General features: G+C 49.5%; 1 pseudogene, besides 1 other annotated feature; it reads left to right on the forward strand.

Annotated features, from left to right (window-relative positions):
- On the forward strand, nt 4,333-4,832 carry PPIAP56 (peptidylprolyl isomerase A pseudogene 56; annotated as a pseudogene).
- Nucleotides 11,243-11,849: an enhancer, noted in NCBI's record as "H3K27ac-H3K4me1 hESC enhancer chr18:12253496-12254102 (GRCh37/hg19 assembly coordinates)". NCBI's record gives its function as "activates a minimal SCP1, AML or CMV promoter by ChIP-STARR-seq in primed H9 embryonic stem cells {active_cell/tissue: H9 hESC(primed)}" and the evidence as "EXISTENCE:reporter gene assay evidence [ECO:0000049][PMID:30033119]".

Here is an 11,957-nt window from a genome sequence, read left to right on the forward strand (position 1 = left end):
AATTTAATGAAGTCCAATTTATCAATTTCTTGTTTTACCGATAGTGTTTTTTTTGGGTTTTTTGGGGCTTTGTTTTTGACAGATCTCACTCTGTCCCCCAGGCTTGATTGAGTGCAGTGGCACAATCACTGCTCACTGCAGCCTTGACCTCCCGGGCTCAAGTGATCCTCCTGCCTGGGGCTCCCAAGTAGCTAGGACTATTGTCCCATGCATCACTGCATCCAGCTACCTTTTTATTTTTTGTAGAGACGAGGTCTCTCTCTGTTGCCCAGGCTAGTCTCAAACTTCTGGGCTAAAGCAATCTTCCCGGCTCTACCTCCCAAAGTGCTGGGGTTACAGGCATGAGCCACCACATCCAGCCAGTGTTTTTTGCACCATCTCCAAGAAATCTGTGTCTGCCCTAAGTTGTAAAGACAGTTCCTTCTTTTCTTCTAGAAGCCTTACGGTTCTGGCTCTTCTATGGGGGCCTATGACGCATCCTGAATTCCTTTTGCAGGTGGTGTGAGAGAGGTCTGAGGCCCATGTCTTTCTATGTGAATATCTAGTAGTTCCAGCCACAAGTGTTAAAAAAAAAAAAACCTCTCCTTTCCCCATTGGGTTAACTTAGACTCTTAGTCAGTATTCCTTTTTTTTAAAAGAACTCTTCCCTCTCCCCCTCCCCCTCCCCCTCTCCCTCTCCCCTTTCTTTCTTCAGACTCCCTCTGTCGCCGAGGCTGGACTGTACTGCCGTGATCTCAACTCGCTGCAACCTCCCTGCCTCGGGCTCCCGTGATTCTCCTGCCTCGGCTAACCGAGTGCCTGGGATTGCAGGCACGTGCCGCCATGCCTGACTGGTTTTTTGCGTTTTTGGTGAAGATGGGGTTTCGCCGTGTTGACCGGGCTGATCTCCAGCTCCTGACCTCGAGTGATCTGCCTGCCTCGGCCTCCCAAGGTGCTGGGATTGCAGACGGAGTCTCGCTCACTCAATGCTCAATGTTGCCCAGGCTGGAGTGCAGTGGCGTGATCTCTGCTCGCTACAACCTCCACCTCCCAGCTGCCAGCCTTGGCCTCCCAAAGTGCTAAGATTACAGCCTCTGCCCGGCCCCCCCGTCTAGGAAGTGAGGAGCGCCTCTGCCCGGCTGCCCCGTCTGGGAGGTGAGAAGCGCCTCTGCCCGGCTGCCCCGTCTGGGAGGTGGGGAGCGCCACTGCCTGGCCGCCCCGTCTGGGAGGTGGGGAGCGCCTCTGCCAGACTGCCCCATCTAGGAAGCGAGCGCCTCTGCCCGGCTGCCCCGTCTGGGAGGTGGGGAGCGCCTCTGCCCGGCTGCCCAGTCTGGGAGGTGAGGAGCGCCTCTGCCCGGCCGCCCCATCTAGGAAGTGAGCACCTCTGCCCGGCCGCCCCGTCTGGGTGGTGTACCCAACAGCTCTGAAGAGACAGCGACCATCAAGAACGGGCCATGATGACGATGGTGGTTTTGTAGAAAAGAAAAGGGGGAAATGTGGGGAAAAGAAAGAGAAAACAGATTGTTACTGTGTCTGTGTAGAAAGAAGTAGACATAGGAAACTCCATTTTGTTCTGTACTAAGAAAAATTCTTCTGCCTTGGGATGCTGTTAATCTGTAACCTTACCCCCAACCCCGTGCTCTCTGAAACATGTGCTGTGTCCACTCAGGGTTAAATGGACTAAGGGCGGTGCAAGTTGTGCTTTGTTAAACAGATGCTTGAAGACAGCATGCTCGTTAAGAGTCATCACCACTCCCTAATCTCAAGTATCCAGGGACACAAACACTGCGGAAGGCCGCAGGGCCCTCTGCCTAGGAAAACCAGAGAACTTTGTTCACGTGTTTATCTGCTGACCTTCTCTCCACTATTATCCTATGACCCTGCCACATCCCCCTCTCCGAGAAACACCCAAGGATGATCAATAAATACTAAAAAAAAAAAAAAAAGAATTCTTCACAATTATGTCTATATAATTACACAGAAGTAACTGAAGAGCATTCTGAGCTGATATTGAAAGATAACTAATCAATTAATACCTTATATTGGTAATACATGCATGTGGTTTTAATTGAAATTAAAAGGTACAAAATTCAAAAAGTACGAAAGATCACAGGAAAAATCTCAATTTCCTTTCCATTTCTGTTTCATATCCCCAGTGCCATCCACTAAGGCAAATGCTGTGGGCAGTTTTCTGAGAAACTTAAAAAGCCGGACTCCACAAAACCAAATATTGAGGTTCTGGTTGAGGCCTGAGAGTCTGGGAGTTTTGTGTGTCCATGTGTGTTAAAGGTGCAAATACGAGGTGGGTATTGCAAACAACTCCAGCTCATTCTCAGGGACTCACCTGAGACATTATAAGCAGTGCCTCAGAATTCTTACAAGGCCTTATTTAATTCTCTCTTTCCATCTTATGTAGGTAAAGAGAAACATTGTACGACTGAGTTTGAAGTTCACACATAATGTGAGGTGGTAAGCTTGTTTCTTTTGTTTTTCTTCTTTCTATTTTGTCAATATTTGTAGACCAACCCATCAGATTCCATGCCCTGTAGGAGCATCAGAAATTGCAAATTTAAGAGGAAAAAGTGGAGGAGCTCAGGAAGACAATAATGAGGATACATTGTTTACTCGGTAAAAATTACTGCACTAGAGCATCCATGGTGAACACAGTTAGTGGGTTTTTGAATTTTTTCTGTCCTTTAAGCAGTTTTCATCTAGTCACATGATCCTTGGGGTTCTGTCATTTCAGGTTGTCTTTAATTATGAAGTGGAAAGGAGGGGAATGCCTTTCTCTTAGCCAATCCTGGGTGTCATATAATAATAAGGGAGAGAAGATTCTGGTTGCATTAACACGATTTTTATGAGAGCTTCCCTTTCTCTGAATGTTGGCTATTGAATCCAGGTATGTCACTTCATGACTATGCTGCTATTTCAGAAAGTGTAATCGCCTGAAACACGTGCTCCACTTAGGGCTCTAACATAAATCCCTCGAAATGCCGAAACTTCGCCTTTTCCAAACAAGTCATTTTTCTTCTGGCCCCAGGGCTGCAGTCAGAGCTCGGCCTGCCCCACCTAAGAAGACAGGGTTGGCGGCCGCAGTAGCTCACGTCTGTAATCCAGGCCCTTTGGGAGGCCGAGGCGGGTGGATCACGAGGTCAGGAGTTCAAGATTAGCCTGACCAAGATGGTGAATCGCCGTCTCTACTAAAACTACAAAAATTATCCAGGCGCAGTGGCAGGCACCTGTAATCCCAGCTACTCAGGAGGCTGAAGCAGGAGAATCACTTGAACCCAGGCCGCAGAGGTTGCAGTGAGCCGAGATCGCACCGCTGCACTCCCGCCTGGGTGACAGAGTGAGATTCTGTCAAAAAAAAAAAAGGAAGGCAGGGTCGGCCCTCAGACCCACTCCCCATCCCGTGGTGTGCTGAAGGGGGCCCTGGCACCAGGTCACTGTGCTCTGCTGGGGCCTCTCAAACCACGGCCATGCCAGGGAGGAGGCAGCGTTGAGCAGCCACTGGCTCTTTCTGGTCAGGGCCACCCCACCCAGCAGGGTCAAAAGAGGACCATTTCCATGAGCTGAAGGGAGGCACCAGGGAGGGCAGAGGCTGGAGCTCCAGGCTGGAGGTGAAGATGGCAAAACCCGGGCATGAGGAACAACGACGCAAAGCCAGCCGGGTGCAGAGCCGCCGCAACCCCACAGCCGCCACCAACCTCCTTCCTGCCCTTTCTGCACGAGACCTGCCGACTGAGTGGACCAAATACACACCAGGGGTGCCGCGGCTGCCAGAAACGGTTCTCGGAAGTGGAATTGGTGGAGGAAAGGTGAGGCTCATTTGTTCAAGTTTTGATACATATTTACCCAATTACTTTCCAAAGAGTGGAGCAGGTGATCCTCCCATCAGCAGTAAGAGTACAAATTCCTGTTTCGTTGCACCCTCCCCAACATGGCTGGGTTCTTTTAAACAAGCTTTACCAAACGGACAGGCAAAAGGCGGCATCCAGGGACTGTTTTATTTCCCTTTGATTATCCGTCATCCTGGACATTTCCTCAAGGGCAATTCTCACCAGCCATTTCCATCCGTTTTTCTGTTTTTCTATTGTTTGAAAAGGTAAGTTTCTGAATAAGGTTGGAAGGAAGGCATAAACCGCAGTTATTACATTATCATTAGTATGATGTTGATGTCATAGAAAGGGGAAGGAGAGCACTGTAGAGACACCGTCCAGCCAAGCTTCATGGTCAGCACAGGGAAAGGGGCTGCATACATGCAGGAAAGAGAAGCAAGGCGGGATCTATTGAAATTTTAAAATACACAGCTTTGCAGACGCCGCTGCCTCCCAGAGTCCCCTGCCATCAGCCATGGTCAACCCCACCGTGTTCTTTGACATTGCCATTGGTGGTGAGCCCTTGGGCTGGTCTCCTTCCGAATATTTGCGGACAAAGTTCCAAAAATAGCAGAAAACTTTCATGCTCTGAACCCTGAAGAGAAAGAATTTGCCTATGAGGGTTCCTGCTTCCACAGAATTATTCCAGGTCTTGTTGCCAGGCTGGCGACTTCACAGGCCATAATGACACTGGCGGCAAGTCTGCAGGGAGAAAATTGATGACAAGGACTTCATCCTGATTCATCTGGGTCCTGGTGTCTTGTCCATGGCAAATGCTGGACCTAACACAAACAGGTCCCAGTATCTCACCGGCGCAGCCAGGACTGAGTGGGTGGCAAGCACGTGGTCTTTGGCAAGGTGCATGGACACGGTGGAAGCCACGGAGCGCCTGGGCCCAGGAATGGCACGACCAGCAGCGGATCACCACTGCCGACTGTGGACAGCGCTAACGATTTGACTTGTGTTTTCTCTTAACCACCGGCGCACTCCTTCTGTAGCTCAGGAGCGCCCCCTCCACCCCATTGCTCACAGCGTCCTATCATCTTTGTGCTCCCGCTGCAGTTCTTTGGCTTCCACAGTTTTCTTACTTCCCTCCATATTTAGCTGGACTGCACTTTATGGTTATGAAATAAAAACGAAATAACAAAATAAATAAATAAATGAAATATACATACCCTAAAACCCACCAATTCCACTTCTTGGTATTACCCCCAGCGAGGCACCCACGGAGACAGGATGCATGCGAGCATGCTCAGGAGAGCACTGTGGATGCCAAGGACCAACTGGAAACAGCGCAGAGGGCAGCAAGAGGGAGATGTTCGCTGTGATGCGCTGTACACCTGCCGGGAACTCCAGGCAGTTACAACAGCGGGGCAGTCCCCGTGCCCGGGGACAGGAAGAGCTACACACTGTTGGGTGAGAAAGCAAGCTGTGAACATTCCGTGGAATATGATACCGCTGTGCAAACCACCCACAGTGCAGAATCCCACTTGTGATGTGTGGGTATCACCCACAGGACAAGGCACTGGAGGATTCAGAGCGAGCTGAGGACGGGGCAGGAGAGGGGCAGGATTGGAGGCCATGATCCCAGAAGATTTTGCCTTCTCCACAACGTTTACATAAAAATCATTAATAATGACACAGTATTTATCTATTACTTATAGAGTTAAGATGTTATTAAAACCTTTCTGGAAGATCAGGACATTTTGTATGGAGAGCCTGGGGCTGGTGTCTTGGACGTGCTGCTGTTGACGCTGACACCCCCATTGCACGAAGCAGAGTCTGCTCTGCCCTCCTGCCCAGTTGGGAAAGTCCTGGAATTAGCTCTGAACACAGGCTTCTTTGGCCACTTTTTTTGGACAGAAAAACACATATAGAAGTCAGTGAAAAGAACATCACCTTTGTTCCTATATTTGGAAGGAAAATAAACATCCAAGCCCAGCAACAGCCACAACCAAAACAAGTGTCCGGAGTGCCCAGCTTGTTAATAGCACAAAGCACTGAAGGGTCGGCTGCAGCCTGCAGAGACCATGCCTCCCCTCAGAGCAGGCTTCCCAGCCTGTGGCACAGGGGACCCCCAGAGTGTGAGCACAATGTCGCTGGGTTATATGAGTCTTTTCGGAGAGAAGGGCTATCACTCTCATCAGACGTTTCAGGGATTTTGAGCCCCAAAAGGTTAAGAATCAATGTATGGGGGCCCCATTAAATATCGTAGGCATGAAATAATACAAGATTGAGTTTTGTTAAATTTTATTTTATTTTGTTTTTTAGATACAGAATCTCAATCTGTTGCCCAGGCTGGAGTGCAGCAATGCAATCATAGCTCAGTGCAGCGTTGAACTCCTGGGCCCAAGTGATCCTCCCACCTCAGCATCCAGAGTAGCTGGGACCACAGGTATCCCCCACCGCACCCAGCTAATTAGTTCATTTTTGTAGAAATGGGGTTTCACTATGCTGCCCAGGCTGGTCTCAAACTCCTGGCCTCAAGAGATCCTCCTGCCTTGGCCTCCCAAAGTGCTAGGATTACAGGTGTGAGTCACCACGCCCAGCCTGCCACATTGAGTTTTTATTGTAAGCTGCCCAAGAAATCAAGAAATTCTTAATGTCTACTCCAGAATTAAAAGGATCTTTTGCTTTTCACCTAGTTGGACAAGCAATTGTCTACACTGAGTTTCCTCACACAAGTTTCCTCACACAAGTTTCCTGACTGCCCTCACCCTTTGCAACCTTGGGTACCAACTCTGAAACCTAGGACCTGCACTTCAAATCGGGCATTGCTGAGGGCAGGTGAATTTCAACTCCTCCTGTTCGGAATGTGCTGCAGCTGCCCTCTCAAATTCAGCTCTCTGCATACATGACAGCATACACGACAGATGCAGAGAGCCGGATTTCCCTGTTTATGGTTATTCTGTGTGTGGAACTGAGGCTTGGAATTGGAACACCGAGGAGAGATGGCGCCCTGACTTCCTGCGTAATCTTTCCCACACCACAGGGCTCACCAGCCCTGGGCCATCAAGTGTGAACCCACTAAAGCCCCATCTGCTGCCCTGGCCCTTCTGCCTACAAACCCGCTCACTTTCCTAACGGGCACGCCTGACCTCATTAGTTAACAATGTGAAGAAAGACATCTTAGTCGACTGCAAGCAATGCTCCTCAATTTTGTGAAAATTCACCTTAGTTTTTTGCTGTAACCCAGCTCATGGCCAAGGCATCGTTGCATAGATTTGAGACACTAGAAATCAAACCTGAACTGCCGGAAGTGCAGATGCCCAGGCAGACCTCCTGGTCAGGCTTCAAATCCCACCTTCCACACCTGTTCCTGGGAGATGAAGTTTGTACCCATGGTCATCTGTCCCTCTGCCACTCCATTCAGATGTGTCCACGTCTCCATGGCCCCTCCATCCAAGAGAAAGCAACACACATGTGCAACCAGGAAACATACAAAAGTGCCTTGCAGCCTTGTGGATCCTTACCGGCCAGATAGCCATGGGCTGTGGAATGGAACATAAATATCACACAATGCAGTTTTCCTTGGCAGCAAAAATGAGCAAACAAATAACATACATAATAAAATGAATAATTTCACAGGCACAATGAAGAGTGAACAAAACCAGGCACAAATGAGAACACCCTGCGTGATTCTATTTATACAAAGTTCAAGAATACGCAAAATGAACCTGTTGTAATGGAAGGCAAAACAGTGTGATCTCCCAATGAGATACCATCTCACACCAGTTAGAATGGCAATCATTAAAAAGTCAGGAAACAACAGGTGCTGGAGAGGATGTGGAGAAATAGGAACACTTTTACACTGTTGGTGGGACTGTAAACTAGTTCAACCATTGTGGAAGTCAGTGTGGTGATTCCTCAGGGATCTAGAACTAGAAATACCATTTGACCCAGCCATCCCATTACTGGGATATACCCAAAGGATTATAAATCATGCTGCTATAAAGACACATGTACACGTATGTTTATTGCAGCACTAATTCACAATAGCAAAGACTTGGAACCAACCCAAATGTCCAACAATGATAGACTGGATTAAGAAAATGTGGCACATATACACCATGGAATACTAAGCCATAAAAAATGATGAGCTCATGTCCTTTGTAGGGAGGGACATGGATGAAATTGGAAATCATCATTCTCAGTAAACTATCGCAAGGACAAAAACCAAACACCGCATGTTCTCACTCATAGGTGGGAATTGAACAATGAGAACACATGGACACAGGAAGGGGAACATCACACTCTGGGGACTGTGGTGGGGTGGGGGGAGGGGGGAGGGATAGCATTAGGAGATATACCTAATGCTAAATGACGAGTTAATGGGTGCAGCACACCAGCATGGCACATGTATACATATGTAACTAACCTGCACATTGTGCACAGGTACCCTAAAACTTAAAGTATAATAATAATAAAATAAAATAAAATAAACAGTGTGATCTCCAGTGTGGGGTGGGTGGTACGGCCTTGAAGGGGCAAAGGGAGCCTAATGGGCACTGCAAATATTCTGTCTTGATCCAAGCAGTTTATGAACATAAACATTCACACAAAGATCTGTGCATTTTCGCAGATGCACATTATTCTGCAGTACAATTGTTCTTAATTTTTTAAAGCCCAGCATGAACCAACTGGTAGCCCAAGGGCAAGGAGCAGCCCGTGGGGCAGCCTCCTGAGCACAGGGCTGGACAGAGAGGGCGGGGGAATGGACCTGGTGGAGAGCTAACCAGTGAGATGCTCAGAAAATGCTTGCTGAGTGGGACAGCAATCATTTACACCTTAGTATAAATAACTATAGAAAGTTTTTTCAAACAGGGAGGCTGGAAGCTATACGGAAATAGGAGGACACTTGGCTTTGGCAAATAGCAGAGCAAATTGAAATAAATTATTTGCCTTACTGACCATTCTGCTGAAGATGCCCTGGCTATGTGTTTAACGGTGTTTGGATTAGTCCTCTTCCAGTGCTTGATGGTTCACAATGTATTTCAAAAGCATTACCTCACTCGACTCTCACTGCACCCCACTGAAACTTGGTAAAAAGTGCATGTCATCAGGGATCAGTAGGAATAAAGAAACTGAAGCTCAAAAAGGAAAGTTCCCACAGTGACAGAATTTGAAAGTAGCAAGGCCAAAGTTCAGGGATGATTGTTTCCTCCACCAAAAAAAAACAAAAACAGAAATTGGATTAGAAACTGGAGTTTCTTTGAACCCTAAGCACCGATGTTTATAACGTATTGCGGTAAGTGGGAATCAATTTCTGTTTCAGGCACGCGCTCTTGGCTAGGAGTAGGGAGTGGAGCCGTTCATTGCTGTCGTGGTCAGTCCCACTCACGCTGCTGGAGCTGACCAGGCCGGCCCTTCCCTCATGGCATTTGAGTCTCACACACCCTGTGAGACAGACAGGCCGCTGCCCTGTGACAGATGAAGATCTGAGGCTTGGGGTAGTTATGTGACTGGCCCAAGGTCACCCAGCTAGAGGAGGCAAAACCAGGCTAGGAACCTAGGTCTCTGCACTCCAGAGCATGGGCTGTGCCCAGCACATGCTGAGACTCGGGGAGTGGGGAGGCATCCATACTTTGGAGAAAGAGCAGAGCCCACTGTGGCATCACCCCACAGATACTGCTGGGAGCCGAGGGAAGGCAATGCTGAGGTCCCTCCCTGAGGGTGTGGGTGTCAGGTGGAGCCCACTGTTCACAGCTGCACAGGCTCTGTGACAACAAACATTTGGTGAATTGAACTAAAAAGCTGGGTTCCCAATCCTGGTTGCCCGGGCACAGAGTAGTTGTTGAACATGGATGAATGAAACCTGTCGAGTGAGAGTGGAATGAATTTGTGTGCTGGAGACGAGAATATGCTGGAAGGCTGGGCATGACTCGCACTGTTGTCTTCTCCATCATCTGTTGGGTTTGCAGCCAAGTCCCCTGGAGCTCAGTCTGCCCTCTGCCCTCTCCCACCTCTCCCCACCACCCTCCTAGCGCAGCACTCCAGGATTCCCACTCAGCAGCAGGGCAGTGACCGACTTTTACTCCCAGCCTGAAGATCTGCATGAGAACCAATGCACACCAGGGCTATGCTGCCTCCGTGACCAAGGGGTCCCCAGGGCCTGGTCTCACCACCATCTCCGCTTCCACCACAGACTTGCTCCCGTCCAGGATTCCTCATCTCTCCAGTCTCCCAAGCTCAAAACCCCAGGGTGATCTCCTGCTGGGTCCCTTCTGCCATCGCCATGGCCTGGAAATGTTTGCTAGTCCCCACCCCACCCCCATGTCCACACTCAGTGCCCAGGTCTTTATTTTTATTTTGTTAGAAGTGATAATGTCACTATGGTTATGTATGAGATCATGTCCTTGTTTCTCCAGAGATGCAAGCTAAAGGATTTAATTTGGAAGGGTTCAAATTCAAATATAAAGAACAAAGAAATATGTCAAAATGTTAACAGTGGTTGAATCCAGGGGCTGGGTGTAAGTGTGCTCATTGTACTGTTCTCTCTTATCTATCTATCTATCTATCTATCTATCTATCTATCTATCTATCTTATATATAGATAGATAGATATATACACACAAACAGATTTTTTTCTTTCTTTAGAGAGAAAGTCTCACTCTGTTGCCCATATTGGAGTGCAGTGACATGATCACAGCTCACTGCAACCTCAAACTCCTGGGCTCAGGTGATCCTCCCTCCTCAGCCTCCTGAGTAGCTAGCACTACAGGTGCTCGCCGTCATGCTTGGCTAATTATCGTTATTTTTGTGTAGAGATAGTAGTCTCACAGTGTTACCCAGGCTGGTCTCAAATTCCTGGCTTCAAGCCATCCTCCTGTTTTGGCCTCCCAAAGTACTGGGATTACAGATGTAAGCCAGTACCCTCAGCCCTGTTCTTTCTATGTATCTCTATATTTGAACTTTTTCACAATAAAAAGGTTAGAGGTAAGTTGACCTGAATTGATTGGACCCATTTTCTCATCCATCACATTGGGGCTGTGAGTGGGAGGGGCAGTGAATGACCTCCTAAAGCTGTGTCCGCTCAGTGCCTCTGGGGGAAGCTGCCCCCTGTGAGCCTGGAGCTGGGTGTTCCCAGCAGGCGGAGTCCTTGACTCTGGAAGGCAATTGCCTTTGGCTTCAACAGTCCTGCAAGTCACAAGGCTTGTTGACCACGGTGACCCTTTCTGAGAGCCAGCGGAGGAAGAGGGCGGGCATAGGGTCAGGTCTTAAGAGATCAGGTCAGTCTGCTCAAACCAGGTGGGCTCAGGAGGAGCCGGCGAGGGTCCCGCTGCAGCTCCCGAAACGCTGTTTCCAGGCGGCAGTCAGCAGTTGGGCACGAGAGGATATCCTAGCAAGCCTCCATCCCAGAAAGTTACACCTCTTACTGCCCGAGTCCCACCCCTCAACACTGAGCCCACCTCTTCAGTCCTGTAGTGAGGGGTTCTGGGAACCCCTTGTAACTGCCCGCCTTCCTCGGAGGTCTCAGAGGCCCTAATTGCGTCTTCCGATGGGAACAACCATGAGAGCAGGGTGTGGACGGAAGTCCCCCAGCCCCAGCGGGGTTCACTCTTTGCCTCCTCACTCTGCGAGGGTCCCTTACTACAGCTAAAAGGCAATTCATGCAGTCCAAAGGCTCCTTTCCCCTCCCGTTCTGCATGCCCTTCTCACTGTCCCCAAATGCTCATGACATGGCCTTGAGAGCAGCGCAGCGGGCAGGAAGCCCAGGCGCCTCGGAGAACCTGAAGGGCTGCAGGTCCCGGTGTCTGCGGCAGCTTCCGCATCCCTGCAGGGAACCAGCGGCTCGCTGAGCCTGGGGCTGGGCTCTGGGGGACTCCAGAGCTGGAGGCAAGTGGCGCTCACATCCGTCTCCTCACCTGCCCCACCCGTGGCCTGGGTTTAAAATCCACATACCCGTCTTTCCGCGGCCAAAGTGATGCTGCCAGGATTGGTTATGACCCCAACTGCCCCGACCCCCAGAAGTGCAAAACGAACAGGCTGGCAAGTGACCAAAAGAGACCCGGGGAGCATCTGGGCTTCCAAGGTCCTCGGTACGGCCCAAGGCAGCGAAGGACGCGCGGCTCCAGGCTGCGGGAGCCAGGACGACCGGGG

Source organism: Homo sapiens, chromosome 18 (genome assembly GCF_000001405.40).
Source record: "Homo sapiens chromosome 18, GRCh38.p14 Primary Assembly".
Taxonomy (NCBI): Eukaryota; Metazoa; Chordata; class Mammalia; order Primates; family Hominidae; genus Homo; species Homo sapiens.